This window comes from Homo sapiens, chromosome 11 (assembly GCF_000001405.40).
Source record: "Homo sapiens chromosome 11, GRCh38.p14 Primary Assembly".
NCBI classification, from domain to species: Eukaryota; Metazoa; Chordata; class Mammalia; order Primates; family Hominidae; genus Homo; species Homo sapiens.
The window spans coordinates 22,220,790-22,239,248 of record NC_000011.10 but is presented as its reverse complement, the minus strand read 5'-3'; the positions used below and the strand labels follow the sequence as shown (position 1 = coordinate 22,239,248).

At 34.4% G+C, this 18,459-nt stretch overlaps 1 protein-coding gene across 15 annotated transcripts in view, besides 1 other annotated feature; it reads right to left on the bottom strand.

Moving 5' to 3' along the window:
• ANO5 (anoctamin 5) overlaps positions 1-18,459 on the bottom strand; it is a 90,885-nt gene that overhangs the window by 44,109 nt on the left and 28,317 nt on the right. For 13 of the 15 annotated variants that reach the window (XM_005252822.5, XM_047426522.1, NM_001441294.1 and 10 more), the window contains 4 exons: positions 18,039-18,152; positions 13,197-13,265; positions 11,663-11,947; positions 2,973-3,086 (listed from right to left, as the gene is read on the bottom strand). In XM_005252822.5, the coding sequence (XP_005252879.1) occupies positions 2,973-3,086; positions 11,663-11,947; positions 13,197-13,265; positions 18,039-18,152 (582 nt within the window). The remainder of the gene's footprint in view (positions 1-2,972; positions 3,087-11,662; positions 11,948-13,196; positions 13,266-18,038; positions 18,153-18,459) is intronic. The other 2 variants (NM_001441298.1, NM_001441299.1) reach the window with 1 other exon arrangement.
• Positions 3,803-4,797: an enhancer, noted in NCBI's record as "OCT4-NANOG hESC enhancer chr11:22255998-22256992 (GRCh37/hg19 assembly coordinates)". NCBI's record gives its function as "activates a minimal SCP1, AML or CMV promoter by ChIP-STARR-seq in naive and primed H9 embryonic stem cells {active_cell/tissue: H9 hESC(naive and primed)}" and the evidence as "EXISTENCE:reporter gene assay evidence [ECO:0000049][PMID:30033119]".

The window sequence follows — 18,459 nt, the reverse complement described above, 5'->3', positions numbered from 1 at the left end:
GCTGGATAGGACTTTAGAAATGGGCTAACACTTTTTTTTATAGATGAAAAAATTAAACTTCAAGGAACATTAAGCAACTAATCCAAAGTCATACTGCTATTACTGGAAGAGACTCCTGTTCTGTCCTCACTGATAGCCATTTCCCAAAGAACTTAAAATATTACAACAAACTTTAGCATTTAAGGGGCTTGGTATTGCTTGATGCATAAGTTCTTTTCCCATTGTTAGATACTGACTAATATTATTAATATCTTTTCATGGCCTAGCAAAGTATTGTGTACACTGTGGCTGTTTAAGACATTCTGTTTTTACTGCAGACAAATGAACTGCTGAAGGCAGCACTGAATAAATATCCAGTTTAAAATTTAGCACGTTGGAGATATACCTAACGTTAAATGATGAGTTACTAGGTGCAGCACACCAACATGGCACATGTATACATATGTAACTAACCTGCACATTGTGCACATGTACCCTAAAACTTAAAGTATAATAAAAGAAAAAGAAAGTTAAAAAAATAAATAAAATAAAATTTAGCACGTGTGAAAATCTTTATATGATAAGGTGTTAAATTTTATATCACCCAGATTCCAACTTTTTTCTTCTTCTGTAGGTAATCCAACTGAATCTTAAGAAATTAAACAACCAAAAAAGCAGCCTATGTGGGTATTTTGAAAAATGATTCTGTAAAGCACATAAGGGAAAATCCAGTGCCTAACACTGCATTCAGAAGTAAAGAAAGATTAAAAAGTAAAATCACCAGTAAGTTATAGCTATCTCCAGTGATAGCTCAGTGACATCGAATTTCCAATGAGCCTATATGACTCTACTGAAAGGCTACATGCATAGTTTAAAATTGCTGATGACTGAAGACATTAGTTTGGCTTTATGATATGGCATTGTAAGAATAGAACTAATGCCCTAAAAATTAATTTTAAAAAACTCAAAATCTTCAAAAAAAAAAAAAAAACTATGAGGTCTTTTGTGAAGAAAGATGGACAGAATGCAATGCAAAGTGTTTATTAACCTACTTTAGATCTTTCTGCTTTACCAAACGTCCATGTTAGTATTTAGAATCTATAATCTCCTAAGAGTTTCTTTGCCCCAGGAAAAAAAAATTGTGACAGTGGGCCCTCTGTATCTGCAGGTTCTGCACCCACAAATCTAACCAACAGCAGATTGTAAATATTTTTAAACAGCAGTAAACACATACACACACAAATTTAAAAACAATACAGTGTAACAACGATTTACATTTATATTGTATTGGGTATTATAAATAATCTAGAGATGAATTAAAGTATGCTGAAGAATGTGTGTAGGCTATATGCAAATACTACTACATTTTATATAATGAACTTGATCATGCTGGGATTTTGGTATCCAAGGGTCCGGGGATTGGTTCTGGAACCAACCCTCAGTGGATGTTTACTATATATGTGTTCAAGGGCTGTTGAAAAAAAGAAGAGGCTGTTTGGTTTTTCTAATACTTAAGTTACTAAATTGACACTCCTGTTGAAAATGGCGACTCATTTTGGAAAATTTCCTCTACTCTTACAGAAAAACTAATCAGTGTTGAACTGACCTGGAGTAAATTCTCATACTACTGAATAAATATTGAACATTGGCCAGGAGTTCAATTACAGCCTGGCCAACATAGCAAAACCCCGTCTCTACTAAAAATACAAAAATTAGCCAGGCATGATGGTGTGTGCCTGTAATCCCAGCTACTCAGGAGGCTGAGGCAGGAGAATTGCTTGAACCCGGGAGACGGAGGCTGCAGTGAGCCAAGATTGCACCACTGCACTCCAGCCTGGGGGACACAGCAAGACGCCGTCTCAAAAAACAAAAGTAAACAAAACAAAAATTAAACATTAACAGAGGAAAACTAGCACAACAGACTAAGTCCTATGAAAGGAAGAGCTTGGCTTTGGGCTTTTGGGAACTATTACAGCAACACTGTATTTCAAAAAAATGGGGAATTATTTAGCTGCCACTTGTTTCAATTGAAATATTTGTTTCTTCTATTACTGAGAACTATATTTCTTACAAAGAGAATACATCACCAAAAAGTCTTTTTAAGTATGGAAGAGTAAAACTGTAACAAAAGAAACAACAAAAATAGACATTCCAAGGGATGATCTCAAAGTAGAATATGTACACATTCAGCCCCAGGATTTCCACTGCCAATAGGTGGTGAAATTTAAACACTGGCTATTCAAATGAGAAGGTTTCCATCAAAAACACCCAGAAATTAGGCTGAGTATTGGTTCCAAGGCCAAGTTTTCAGGTTTGGTTCAACAGGTGAATCACGTAAAATGTCACTTCTCTATTAAACTTATAAACTCAATGTTTTTGTACAATGATTTGCCAGCCCCCAAAAAACGTTCTTCTGAATATCAGTTGTCATAACACCTGAAGCATTCTTATGCACTGAAGCCTTTAGTTTATATTGCAGTTGTACACATGCTTTATTTCTAGGAGAGTCCTAGTCTATGAGCTTGGATTCATGGTTGTGTTCCAATAATGCCTAACAGAATGCTTTACATATAATTGAAGCCAATCATGTATTTGATGAATGAATATGTGAATGCAGGTAATTTAAATTCTTTACAGCTTCAAAACTTTATAAATGAGAAAAGAACTAAAGGACTCAGATAGAAATTTCCAAATATTATGTTCAAAAATGTTCTTTTAATGTGACTGCTATTTTCAAAATGGGTTCTAATAAAAAGTCATGTGCAAATATAAAAGTTTTTAAAATAAATGTCCATTTGAAACCTTAAAGATACATTTACTATATATCTCAGCATAGCTCGTAAAGCTCTCAGCTCAGAACCAAGAAGTCTTTGGGGATTTTCCCACCATGAGAGAAAACTAAGCAACTGAAGTAAAGGAAGATTCTCTCTCCCAGTAATGAACATGGCAGGAGGAAAATAAGCTCAGATTTTCACAATCAAACCTATACATACATCATGGAGTGGATAGGCAGATGAGTAAGTGTTAGAGTTTAGCAGTCTTTCAATCCCAAACCTTTTCTTCCCATCTTCTATGCCAAAAGGACATCTTGAGAGAATATAGTACACCTACAAGGTAAGTGCAAAGAGACACTATCACATCTCAGAACTTTATGCTTTCCACATTTCTTTCAATCACAATTTAACAATGTCTACTTTGAATGTAGATACAGGCTCTAATTATAGAAAGAAGCTTCTCTTGGTTGTCAGGAAGATGTAGAGTGAGGGATTATATGGAGTTTGCAGATATTTTAGCTTCTGAGTCTGAGAGCATTCATTTGATGGGGTGCAGGGGTGAACAGACCATAATTTATTTTGCTTCTCCTGTCCAAACCTCCTCTTTAGTTCTTTGTGCCAGAATTTCTACTATAATTAGGGCTTCAAGTAGGATACTAATGTCACTACTAACAGTTCAGTTGGGGGAATATGGAGTAGAATTGATATTTATCCAAGCTGTCTTGAATACTTCTTCAATTAATTATTTTTACAAGGGATTTTACCTGATATCTGAATTTATTAGCCAAAGTGATCCTATCTCTACAGCCACTTTGCAACAACTTGAATATTTCTATCAGTTTTATCCTGAATATGATTTGGGCTTTGGTATCCTCTGCTCTTGTATTTCTGTGAATTCAATCTCATCTGCTTTTTATCTTCCAACAACTTTTCAAAATTTCTTCTTTCTAATTGCTAAATTTGTTTTTTTCAGCACTGTTTTATACATAGTCCCCTACCTTTCCTTTCTTTTACATTTCACCATTCAAGGACTTTTTGATTGGAATGGTTGTAGTTCTTGAATCATCATCATCTAAACTCATCATTCATGTTAAGAGCAGCTCCATATTCCATCTCGGTAAATAGATCATAATTTATGCTAGGTAGTTTTAATTTTTACAAATGATGTCATAAATATGACCTGTTTTACATATTTTAGATTATTTCCTTAGGAAAGATTCACCACAATAAGAACTCTCTCTTGGGATGTTAACAAAGTGGAAATATTTACACTACCAGGTATTAAGATGTATTATAAAGCTATGATAAGTAAAGCATAGTATTCTAAAATTTAAAAAAAAACCTGAATTTAGGCCTGAAAATACATTATTTGAAAAAATTATTGCAAAAGATGGAGAGGGACTACTGCAATAGAAAGAAAGTTTCAGGAGATCTGCAAACATCTGAAATGTCAGGCAGAAAAGTGATTTCATTCATAGGGAGAAGTAAGCAAGTGTCAGGGATTATCTTTCTTTGTGTTAAGGAGGAGCTGCTATACATCACAATACTGGCTCAAGTTGAGGGTAGGTCAGTGTTCAGGTTCCTATAGGGAGAAGAGAAGCTTAATTAAAGTTTGGTCAAGTCAGGTCAACTGCTTGTTCTGATGGATCAATGGGGATAAACAGTTCAGCTAACCACTCATAAAACGAAGAATAAGAATTTGGAGGAAGTGAAGTGTGTCTGGCCTTTGTTACCAGAAACTGTTAATAACAACAAAAGGAAGAAACTGCAAGGGTAAGGATAGATGTAAAAGAACTAGATTTTCCCTGGTGCCAAAAGGCAAAGTGACTTGCCCCACCTCCTTTTTCTTGGAGTACAAAGGGGTCTTCAAAACACTAATGAAAAATGGATATGTGTGGTTTTCAAATTTTTGGCACAAAATTAAACTCATACTAACTTGTTATAACATGTCCGAACAGGATTTAGTTTGAGAGACTAAGAAGGACACATCAGTTTGAAAAGCGCCGCTGTCAGAGCAACATTAATTCTGCTAAAATTGAAGCAAGAACAAATATCAAATTTATGATGAAGCTTGTGGGGAAGAATGGTGAACTCACTGATGCTTTACCAAAAGCTTATGAAGACAATCCCCCTAAAGAGATCAACAGTTTATAAATGAATAACTCATTTTAAGAAGGGATGAGATAATGTCAAAGATGAAACCTACAGCAGCAGACCATGCACATCAATTTGCAAGGAAAAAATTCACCTTGTTCATGTCCTAATTGAAGAGGACCAATGATGAACAGCACAAATAATAGCCAACACCACAGATATCTCAACTGGTTCAGCTTTCCCCATTCTGACTGAAAAATTATAGTTGAGCAAATTTTCCAATCAATGGGTGTGAAAATTGTTGTACTCAGTTCACCTGCAGACAAAAGCAGTTTTCAATGAAAATTTTAAATAAGTAGGATCAAGATCCTTAAGAATTTCTTTGAAGAATTATGACAGGAGATGAAATACGGCTTTGCCAGTGTTATCCTGAAGATAAAGCACAATCAAAGCAATGGCTACCAAGCGGTGGAAGTGGTTCAGGGAAAGCAAAAGCAGACAAATCAAGAGCAAAGGCCATGGCAACAGTTTTTTGGGGGATGCTCAAGGAATTTCGCTTGTTGACATTCTGGTGGGCTGAACAACAACAACTTCTGCTTATTATGACAGTGTTTTGAGAAAATTAGCCAAAGTTTTTGCAGAAAAACTCCTTGGAATGCTTCAGCAGAGAGCCCTTCTTCACAGGTACAATGTTCCTGCTCCTCCTCTCATAAAACAAGGGCAATTTTTGCAAGAGTTTCAATGAGAAATCATTAGGCATCCACCTTTCAGTCCTGATTTGGCTCAGTCTGACTTCTTTTTGTTTCTTAATCTTAAAATGTGTGGAAGGGGCATCCATTTTTCTTCAGTTAATAATGCAAGTAAGACTGCATTGACATGGTTAGATTCCCAGGACCCTCAGTTCCTCAGGGAAAGACTAAATGGCTGCTATGATCACTTACAAAAAATGTCTGGAACCTGGGAAAGCTTACGGTGATAAATAAAATTTATATATATTTTTTAAATTCTGTTTTTCCAGAAAATTTTGAAGTCCCCTCCTATTTCTTTTAGAGAACTTATAAATTCTTTCTTTGTCCCTTTGAGATGTGTGTCTTTTAAAAAGCTAATAAGGGTCTTACCAATTTCATAAATCAGGCATTTTTTTCTTATGTTTTCTCGGAGTAATCACTTTTGAATGTAAGTATCAAAAAAGGCAGCATACTCATCTCCCAGTCTCCATGGGAGTTTAGCCTAAGCACCTGGCTCCATGCTGTAACTACTTCTTGACATAGAGATATGAGTTTTGTTTTTTCTTGGAATAAAAGCAAGTAAGTAACACAGATGAACACTTCAATTACCAGGTGAATTTAGGATGAACTGTGTGGCAAATGGTACTGTCAAGTCAAACTTGCGGGAAGGGGTATCTATGAGTATTATCTACGTCATATGGTAAAGAGTAGTTCTGTGTAATAAACAGTTTTCTAGAATGTGAAATGATTCCTTTAACTGTCCCTGTTTTAAGGGACTACAGAACTCAGAGAAAGTTCAACATTCTAAGTACTGACACAAAAACAGATGGAGTAAATCAGCAGAATAAAATTCAGAAGTAGAGCTATGAATATATAGATACTTAGGTTATAAGAAAAGGTGGCATGGTAAAACAGTATGAAAAGTTGAATGTTTTCAATAATTGGTGCAACCTGACTGACTATACACTTGAGAGAAAAAAATTGACTTACATTTTGTACAAGGCACAAAAATTAATTACAGGTAGATAGTAGTTGTCAATGTAAAAAGTAAAATAATACAACTTTTAAAAGATAATATATGAAATTAATTTCATTATCCTGGTGTGAGTTGAATATTAAGAGCATTATTCATAACATAAAAAATTGAGAAAGTGGGGTATATTCAAATTAAAAACATCTGTTATCTAAAAACATTCAAAAGGGAAACACAAAATAACAAAAGATCAGTAGAATATATAATGAATAAAGGACTCAGATCAAGAATATATAAATAACTACTGCAAATTGACAAGAAAAGGGAAGATCTAATTGAAAACAGACCAGAGACTTTAGCAGGTACTTCACAAAATTGCGTATCTAGATGGCCAATAAACATATACAAGGAGATCAATCTCATTTACATCAGGGAAGTGCAAATTAAAACAATAATGACACATACACAAATAAATTTCTATGCCAAAGAATGAATGAACAAAAGTTCATACAAGAGCTTAACTGATCACCCAAATAAAGGTTGAGTTAAAGAAGCCAGACTACCAACAACACATACTGTATGATTGCATTTTTATAAAATTTAAAAACAAGCCAAACTAATCTCTGCTGTAAGAAGTTAGTCTATCTCTGCAGAGGAGACAAGGAATAGTGAACGAGAGGAGACACTAGAGCTTCTGGATGGCTAAGAATATTTTCTCTCTAGGTGTTGGTGGTGGTCACATGGCTGTGTTCACCTTGTGATAATTACGACTTATGGACCTCTATCATTTTATGCGTCCATTAAGAAAAGAGACAACACGAAAGACTGATAATTTCTTGTGTCCAGAAAGGTATGTAGGTGGAAAACCAAGTACTCCCATATATTGTAACCAGGACTCCAAATTACTACATCTTTTTGCAAAGTGTGATAGTGTAATACATGTAAAAATTTAAATGTGCATGTCCTTAGATCTCAAAATTTTACATGTGTATCTCTTTTAGCAGAAAACTTACATTTATGCTGAAATGTATAAATACCAGCTTGCAAACTGAGTTGTTTATAATATCAGAAAAGTTGGAAACAACCTGAATAGCTATCAGATGTGAAAATGTTTAATAAAATTATATCTATACTATAGAATATAAAGAACCATTAAAATGAATAGATAGATTAATATCTACTGTCACAAAAAGATATGAAAGAATATACTGTTAACTGATGAGTGTTTTCCACTGAAAAATAAGTAAAATGGGGATTAATATAACTTATCTTTTCATTTTATGATATACATCTCTTTAATGTTTGATACTTTCACAATGAGGATGAAACTGTGCTTCAGTCGTACAATTAAAAAATTTAATAAGGTAAATGACCATAAAAGTGATATTGAAATATTGGAAAATGCTTATAATATAAAATGATGTGATGAAATAATGTACATCTTATTAATTCATTACTTAAAAATACTTATGAGTGTTATATACTGGGCATTGAGCATACAATGGTAAGACTAATGGGAAGATGAACACTAATAAAAAAACAGAAAAATAATTATTTAATTTTCAAAATCTTCTGATTCTTCTGAAGTGAATCATGCAGTTCTCAGCCACATTAATAATTCTGATCTGTGCCATAAGAGGTGTGGTGAGATTTGAAGGGCTGACCCTATCAGAGTTGATTTTACAAAGATCATTCTGGATGTCTATATTAGAGAGTAGCAAAAGCACGGGTAGGAAGACCAATTAAAATGCATTTCAGTAGATCTCATGAATGACGACTATAATTTTGGATAATTTGGTAATAGTGAAGGTGGAGATAGAAGTGGACAGATTCAAAGAGAGTTAGGAGTTAAACTGATAGAACCTAGTGATGGGTTGAACATGGGTGGTAAAGGAGAGGTAGTATAAAGAAATCCTAGGCTTCTTGCTGATGCCTGAATGGAGGTGCTGTTCATGGGAAAAGGGATACTTAGGAGAGGACCCGGTTTGCATCACTTTTGTCTGTCTGCTTTTTGGTACTGATAGTCAGGAGGACATGTGGGAATGGTAGTTAAAAGTTTGGCTTTAGGCATGTGGAACATGAGTGCTTTCAATAGGCACACAGACGTGATTTGTAGGTGTTGGATTTATGAATCTGAAATTTTTTAAACATTTTACAAACTGAAATTTAAGATAAAAGAATTTTTTAAAAACACTATCAAAAAGCAACTGTGTTGGGATGAAGTACACTTAGAATGTATAAAATCCAGCTGTAAAATATTATTTGACAAAAAAAGATACTGACATGAATCCATATATTACATATTATTAGTGCAATGGAAAATTTTCCATTATAAATGGACTGAAATTTGGCATTGGTGTCCTATAAAAATTAATTCTCTATCTTTAAGAAGGACATTGTAACTAAAATGATTAGATGTATCTTATTTGTTTCTCTTTCTATACACATAGAAATTCCTTGGCCATATGTTCAATTTAAATCTCATATTGATAGTGTAAGCTTTTTCACCGACACAGCTGGATAAATCTAGAGCTTTGTTAATGTTAAAAAGTCTAAACTTTTTCCACAATAAAAGGTGTAAACACATAATCATATATATTCATCATATACACATTCACAAATCTACATATTGGTGTATATATAAACAAACATATCACATATATGGGTTATATATTATTTACTATATATTGTGAAGCTCAGATGCCATGATTGTTGTGAAATGCTTTGAAAAGTATGAAATTCTATATTAATGTAAGATGCTCTTGTAATATTATTCAGTTTGTATATCCATTGAAACAAGTGTTATGGATGAGGATAAAAAGGTAGGGACTTTGTCTACATTAACCTCCCAAATATCTTCCTCAATAAAGCAAGAACAATGTTGCTACACTATGAAGGAAGATAAAGTGTGCTTTAAAGTTGAATTCGACTAAGGTATTGACACTGTTCACAAAGAACAAGTAGAGGTAAATGAATACTGACATTTCTATTCCTGATCAAGTTCCTAATTTGTTCCTACGAGTTCACTGGCTTTTTATGAACAATTTTTCAATGTAACAAATATCTCTAAAATACTTTTCAGTTTTCAAAGTGCATTACATATATTATTTCATTTAATTTTCACAATCATGTCAGTATTATCATTATTTGTTTTAAGAGAAATGATCATATTTAGAAAGTAGCAGAGTTACGACTTGAAATAAGGTCTTCTGATTCCATGTCATTTGCTCTTTATTCCCATAAATCCTGACTTAGGTTTTGTTATTGTTTAATCCTGGTTAAAAAAAAAGGAAGAACATTTTTAGTTTGTGGATTCATATCCTGAATTCTAGGAATCACATTTTGTTGACTATTCCTGTCAGTGAATTTTAAAAATATTTATTTAGGAACTAGAAAAAACATGGAATCAGATCTCTAATTCCTCAGGAAAATAAAGTAAGTAATCTCAAGGAAAAGAATCTTGTGATTGTTAGAACCCTGATGATTAAATTAATAAACAAAATCAAAAGATAACAAGTGTTGGAGAGTACCTAGAGAAAGTGTTGGAGAGGACGTTGGAGAGGACATGGAGAGAAGGTGGAGAGTGTGTAGTCTTACACACTACAGATGAGAATACAAATTGGTATAGCCATTATGAAAGACAATATGGACGGTCCTCAAAAAATTAAATATAGAGCTACCACATAATCCAGCAATCCCATTACTGGGTATATGCCTAAAGGGAATGAAATCAGTATGTCTAAGAGATATCTGCCATCCTATGTTTACTGCAGCACTATTCACGATACCCAAGATGTGGAATCAATCTAAATGTCCATCAATGAATGAATGAAGAAAGAAAAGGTGTACACACAGAATTAAATAAATTTTATGGCTAGATATAGCCATAAAAAGAATGAAATGTTGTCATTTGTGACAATATGAACCTAGAGGACATTAAGGTAGGAAGAGAAAGATCAACACCATATGATCTCAGCCATATGTGGAATCTACAAAGTTGTTTTCATAGAAGTAGAGGGTAGAATAGTGATTAGCAGAGAATGGGAAGAGGTAGGGGGAGGAAAGAATGGGGAGAGATTGGTCAACGGGTACAAAGTTATAGTTAGATAAGATGAATAAGTTCTGGTGTTCTATTGCATAGTAGGATGACTAACATTAACAATAAAGTATCAAAATAGCTAGAAGAGAGGTTTTTGAATGGTCTCATCACAAAAAAATGAAAAATTTTAAGATGATGGAGATGCTAATTATCCCAATTTGTTCATTACATAATGTATACATGTATTGAAACATCACATTTTATCACATAAATATGTACAATTATGTGTCAATCATAAATTTTTTAAAATAAGCAAGCTATAAAAGGTAACATACAACCTTATTTTTTTCCCTCTGAAAGCCAGATAAATAATGATAATAACATCTTAACGCTTGTTGAACACTTGGTACAAGCCAGGCACTGCTCAAAGCTCTTTATGTCTGAACTAATTTAATTATCTGGGTAACCTATGAAGTGGATATTATTCCAGTCTAAGCACAAAGAAACAGTGGCACAAAACCATGATTCTTTCTGAGAGAGGTTTTCAATGGGAAACTTAAAGATCCTAGGACTTCAAATGCAGAGAAAACAAGACTATTTAGAAGGCAGAAAATAGTTGTAAATGAAGGGAAAAAAAAGTTTTGAGGTTTCTCAAATTTTATCCATATATAAAGGAATTAAAACATTTCATTTCCATTTGGAATGATAGTTCCTTTACTATGCACTGACTGTATAAAACCAAACTCCAAGTTTGTAAAACCATTTTACAAAGATCTTACAAAATCAAAGTCCTCTAGCTCTCAATTAATTGCTTTTTCCAATATTGTATAACATCTCTTTCTTTACTACATCCATACCATCAACCACTCACTTTTAAACAACAGTTTGAGAGTTAGGGAGAGTAATACGTTTATGTGGTCTAATTAGACTTTCAAACTCCCCAATATCACCAAATGCTTATATCCTATACAGAAGCACCTTGCAGAAATGGTACGACATCTGCACATGTATAAAAGCACACACAAGCATACATCTCGTATTTGAAGGGATGTGCCCAAAGGTCTTCTCTACCTACAATTCTGTTTCTTGATGAGGATGGAAAGAAGGTTGCCTGATCTTCGATGAGGAAGAGCTCCTGCCGATGTCTGCTGAATTGTGCAGTAAAATATTCAGGATGGGGATACTTCACACTCAGTGGGAGTCTTACAGGTCCAAGCACATAGCTTATAGGAGTGTGCTTAGGGCGGGGAATATCACTCTCCTTAATAGGCATTTTGATTCCCAAGACTTCAGCATAGGTAACTAATACCTCCCAAGGGGCATGGATCTTGACAAAATAAGTTCTTCCATCTTCCGAGTCCTGCATTAAAAAAAAGGCAAAACAGCAGAAAGCTTACTGATCAGTTTGTTATTGAGCTGATTAAATAAGATGGATAATATTTTATAAAATCTCAAACACATCAAAGCATTTTCAATATTTTGAAATTTTCAGGCAAAACTTTGAGAAAACAAAATTCACAAAACATATAGTTACAAAAACATGTATATATGTATACATATAATGTGTGTATATATGTGAAAGACAGAAAGAGAGACATACAAAGACACATGCAGAGAAAGACTATTTTTAAACATATATTTCATGGTCAATGTATACTCATCTCTAAATCCACAATAACCTATGCGGTTCTGGGCAATTTCTTAAGTTTTTAGTAACTAGCTATAAGCTCAAAATTTTACTTACGTTATATAAGTGATACATATAAACTGTAAAACGTACTCACTCTTCTTACCCAGCTTCTTTGTTTAGCCTACACAATGAGGAAGAACTTTAGGTAACAAAGGTTCATGGCATAGGAGAAATTATGGATTGTGTGGTATAATAATTTATTAGTTCACTGAAAATGGGAGAACTAGAGAGTAATGCTTCTGTTTTTCTTTTCTTTTTCTTTAAGACAGAGCGTCACTCTGTTGGCAAGGCTGGAGTGCAGCAGCACAACCATGAAACTCCTGGGCTCCAGCAATCCTCCTGCTTTGGCCTCTCAGGTAGCTGGACTACAGGCACCATGCCCAACTAATTTTTTATTTTTTATTTTTTGTAGAGACAGGATCTTGCTATGTTGCCCAGGCTGGAATAGATAGGGTAAGATATTAAATAGGCCTTTAAAAACAATTTTGAAGGAAATTCTAGAAAAACAGTAAATAAAATGACTTTAAAAAGAAAATTTGGTAGATTCATGAACAGAAAGAATGTCTTGGCTTAAACAGCAGGTTATGCTGCAAGACAGCCTGGTTAATTATTTAGGGTACCAGATTATAGGCAGACTTCAAAATGAAACTGTTATGATAAAAAGTCCACATCTTCTTTCTCTTTGTATCCTGAATGCAAACTGTGTCAATTTATAAAGTGTTCCATTTATTACTGCATATTCACAGTACTCATCTACTTACCTGTAAGACCACAGGCCCTATCATCCCGGTGCACATATCTGTAGCCAAAAGAGCTATTGTATTGCCCCCAAACACAGAGTCTATCCAGGCAAAGGCCAGAGTAGGAGAAAACAACACTTAAATTAAAGAGGCTTGTATAAATTATCAACTACATTTACCCTTTTGTCTTCTATTTCCAACTCAAGACCTGTTTTTCTGAGATTAGTTTCAAACTCTTTTCTTCTTTCCTATGACAAAAAAAAATCAACAGAATTATGCAGAATGCTTTTGTTTTATTTGCTCAGTATTGACAGATTCAATATACAATGGCTGTGACTCTGGATGGCTCTCTGCCCCTCCCATGGTTGTATATAAAAATGCTCCATCTGAATGTCAGGTACTGCTTTTCTCTTGTACTATAATTCACAACTACAAAAATGCAGTATATCCAGGAATAATCACCAGGAAATATGCAGAGCCTCTATCTGAAGAAATGTACAAAACTTTACTGAATAACATAAATTATAAAAAAACTTTATAAACAGAGAGACATATGCTCCAAGTTGAAAAGATTCACTATTACAAAGATCAATACTCTTCAAATAAACTATACATTTAATGGAATTTTAAGCCAGTATGTCATCAAGACTTTTTAATCCTGAAGGACAAAATGGCTTCACTTAGCAAAAAGTAAACTTACATTTAACTATAGGTCATTACTGAAAATAACCACTTGGGTGCTTAGTTCTTCATTTGTTTGTTTGTTCGTTTTGTAGTGACAGGGTCTCACTCTGTCACCCGGGCTGGAGTACAGTGTTGTGATCACAGCCCATTATAGCATCACACTCCTGGGCTCAAGTGATCCTCCCTAGCCTCCTGAGTAGCTGGGACTACAAGAAGGTGTCTCCACACTCGGATAATTTTTAAAAAATTTTTTCATAGAGACTGTGTCTCATTATCTGCCCAGGCTGGCCTTGAACTCCTGGCCTCAACTCATCCTCCCGCCTTAGCCTGCCAAAGCACTGGGATTATAGGTGTGAACCACCCACCCAGCTTTTATTAAAGCAATGTATTGATGACAAAAAAAAGCATTTTTTCTTTTTAAAACATTTTTATTGAGTTAAAATATACATATATAACTTACCATCTTTACCATTTTTAAGTGTATAGTTCAGTAGTAATAAATGCATTATATTGTTTTTCCCCCTTTATCTCCCTCCTTCCCCTTCCCTTTCCTGGCTTCTGGTAGCCACCAATCTACTCTATCTTCATGAGATCCACATTTTTACCTCCTGCACATGAGTGAGAACATATGACATTTGTCTTTTTGTGCTTGGTTTATTTCACTTAACATAATGGCTTCCAGTTCCATCGATGGCTGCAAATGATAGTATTTCATTTTTTCAATGGCTGAAAAATATTCCATTTTATGTATTTGCCACGTTTTCTTTATCTATTCATCCAACAATGGGCACTTTTCCTTTGCTGTGCAGAAGCTTTTTGGCTTGATTTAATCCCAGTGGTCTATTTTTCCTTTAATTGCCTGGTCTTACACAAGAAGTCTGTCTGCACCAATGTCCTGGAGCATTTCCTTAGTGTTTTCTTCTGGTAGTTTCATAGTTTCAGGTCTTAGAGTCAAAGCTTTAAGCCACTTTGATTTGATCTTTTGTATGGTAAGAACTATGGATCTGGTATCATTCTTCCACATATAGTTATCCAGTTTCATCAGCATCATTTATTGAAAAGCCTATCTTTTCTCCATTGTATGCACTTGGCCCCTTTGTCAAAGATGAACTTGTTTTAAATTCATAGATTTAAATCTGGATTCTCTATTCTATTTCATTGGCCTGTGTGTCTGTTGTTATGCCAGTACCTTATTGAAGGTATGAGATACAGAACAGTCATTTAGTTATGCACAGTTGGAAGAGAAATGTGGACTGGAAAAATGAATTCTGGGATTGTATGATTAATGTATATAAAATCATAAAATATATGATTTTAAAACTGTAAGACAGAATCATCAAATACATCAGTGTAAGATAAGGAAAGGTGAGGATTAAGGACTGTGCCCTGAGGTACTTTAATAATAAGTGATTTAGGAGAAGTAAAGACTGAGAAGGAGCAACTAGTGAAATAAGAAAAAAACTAAGATAATGTGGAGTCCTGGAAGCCACATGAAGAACATACACAATAGAAAAGGGAAGGATCAACTGTGTTAAATATTGCTAATAGGTCAAGTAAGATGAGGGCTGAGGCTTGACCATTGGATTTTATACAAGGAGATGGGCAGAGTGGTTGGGATAAAGGCTTGAAAGGAATAGGTTTAATATATAATTGAAAAGAAAAAAAATAGAGAAATAGTAGCTAATAGGAAAACTGGAACAAAAAGAGGGTTTTTATTCATACCTTTTTAATATAGAAAAATTAACAGCCTAGTTATTCATGGAAGAAAATGGCCCAGTAAAGAATATCAAATATAATTTAGGAGAAAGAGGAACTAATTTTCAGAGCAATATCCCAAAATAGGTATACAGAAAAGAGTTAATAAAGCAGGGATTAAATTGCTATCCTTAGAAAGGCCTGCCTGCAACTTTAGAAAGGTTGGTCCTAGTGTCTGGGACTTGCTTTTCTGAAGAGTTCCCTCCACTCCCAGAACTGATAAGAGTGGCTCATTTTGCCTATACTGTTTTTACAAACAGTGTTATTTATGCTGAATATCTGCTTTCCTTCTGGGAGTATGAAATTTTGGTATGTGCTAGGCAGAAGGTGACAAGGTAACCAGCCCCTAATAAAAACCTAGGGCACTCTAATGGGCTTGCCCAATAGATATTTCACATGTGTTTTCATACATTGTTGCTGGAAAAAGTAAGTGTATATCCTGTGATTCTACTGAGAGGGAATTCTCACAAGCTTACTCCTGGTTTCCTCCAGACTTTGTCCCATAAGCTTTTTCCCTTGCTCGTTTTGCTTTTTATCATTTCACTGTAATAAAACGTCTCCATAAGCATGACTATATACTGAGTCCTGTGATTCCTTCTAATGAACCCCTAAACCTGAGGGTTGTCTTTGGCACTCCTGAATAGTAGGCAAGAAGAAAGAGAATGCAGGGCACAAGTGGAGCAGTTGGCTTTAGGTAGAAGGATAAATAGTTTGTCTATGGTAACAGAAAGTAAGATAGCTTACACAGGCAAAACTCCTGGTGGATGGACAGATGTGATGGTAGAAATTTATAGGTTTTCTCTTCTTGCTTCAGTTTTCTCAATGAAACAGAAAAATATGATCAGCTAAGCTTGAAGACAGGAGGAGGTGTTGGAGGTGTGAGGAAAGAAAAAGCATTATAAAACAGTCATCTAAGAAAGTGGGAGAAAACAGAATATGGAAGGAAAGTATGATTGCCACACAGCATAAGGACCCAGTTAAGGTCCATGGGCACAAATACAAGGTAAAGTCAGTCAGTAAATTGTAAGTTTTCCTTTCTGCATGTGTGCTGGCATTTAGTAGGTAGGGTTGGGTTTAACTAAAGTTGTTATTTTGTCAAGTACAACTGGGAGAGGGGCAAGGGACTTGGCGGGATATGTAACAGAGTAATTAAAATTGTTGACCACGAGACATAAGCTGAATAAAGAGTGAGAGGGGAATAAGAGCAGCAAAAAGCAGTAAGACGATTGCATCTTATCTGGTCCTGGTGAGGTTGAAAGAGGAAGAATGTGGATCAGAAAGATTTGAGGTATAATCAGACAGTTGTACATGTAAAACGAAATTATAAAGAGTTGCAGTTATTAGTAGTGACAAGTTCTAGGTGAGTGAATGGCTGAGTAGAAGCTAAGATTATTGGAAAAGGGAGTTCAAGGAACAGAGAGGCCAGAGTGTCAAAATAATCATCTAAGTATGAATTGATATTATCAATGATTTTAAAAGATTGCTGGAAAGACGGACAGTGATCCAGGAGGTAAAATTGTTGAGGAATAGAAGATGCAGAGAAAGATAAATGACAAAAACAATGCAGGATAATAATAAATCTGATGAGATTTAAATCTCAGGAATTTCAGGGACAAGTGAAGGAGAACACAGTATAATCAACAAGATACAAGGAAGGCAAGCAGCATTTACCCCATCTCTAGGGAAATGTTGTATAAAGAAAAGTAAACATCACTTGAGAGGACTGCTACGGAAAGCAAAAAACCTCAAAGAGGTTTGAAGGGAATGTTCGGAGAAGAGATGAAAATGATGATGGGTCATGAATTTCAGAGGCCTGGTAGAAGGCTTTCCAGGCAGTGGGTGGAAAAAAGGGACAGACCTGTATATGTATGGAGTCTTGTGGGAATAATATCTTCATTTTTTATTTTTATTTTATATGACATTTATGTTGTAAGTACATAAGTAAATGTGTGTGTATGCACACACACATATATGTGTATAAAAATGGATTAATTTATGATTTCAAATATTGAGTATTTATTGAGTATCCATTATAGTCCAACCATTGTTCTAGGATTTGGGTACATAACGGTGAACAAGACAAAGTGCTTGGCCTCATAAACTTAATTTATAGTGTTGGAGACAGCAAACAAGTAAAAACATGAATAAATAAGCTCATAAAGTGATGTGTAATACAAATAAAATAGAATCAGGAATAGAGTACAATATAAAAGCTATACCTGGAGCAATGGATTAGTCATACATTTCCAAAATGAAAATATCATACAAAAGGTAATTATTATATTCAGACACATACCTCAAATTTTGGATGTTACATTTAATATCTAAAGTGAGCTATAAAAAGAATCAGTTACTTGGAAGAAGAAGAAAAATAAGTTAGTATGCAAAATATCCAAAAAGATAACATTGACTTTACATGTCTATTCTTAGGCTGCCTACTTTACAGTTATCTCATTCAGTTTCAGTTTTCAGTAACACTTCAGGGCCTCTCACTTTTACAACATAATTCAATCCAGATATCCATGTGAAATTATAAAATGTGCTTCTTTTTATTATTCCCACTTCTGTTATAATGCACTTACCGCCTTTAACTCTGCGTCTTTCTTTACATCATCAACGTAGGAAAGCACAAAATCAATTTGCCTAATCCCATCTCGGAAGAAGATAGAATCTTTGCTTTGCTGATTTTTTTGAAACTGCAGGAGACATAAATGACACAATTGTAAATTATAGTTTTATTCTGAAATGGCAAAAGCACAAAAGGAATTATTTATAATTTAGTCAAATCAAGACAAATAACCAGAGTTTTCAGCAACAGATTATGCTTTGTTTTATAAAGTGAAATTCCATATAAAAGATTAAGCAATAATGACTCAGGAGGAAGATAAGCATGTTAACTACATGCACATACAACAAAAATGCTGCAAACATACCAAAATATGAAATGAATATATGTATAAATTGATCTCAAAATGCACATTCAGAGACTGACTTGTTCCCTTC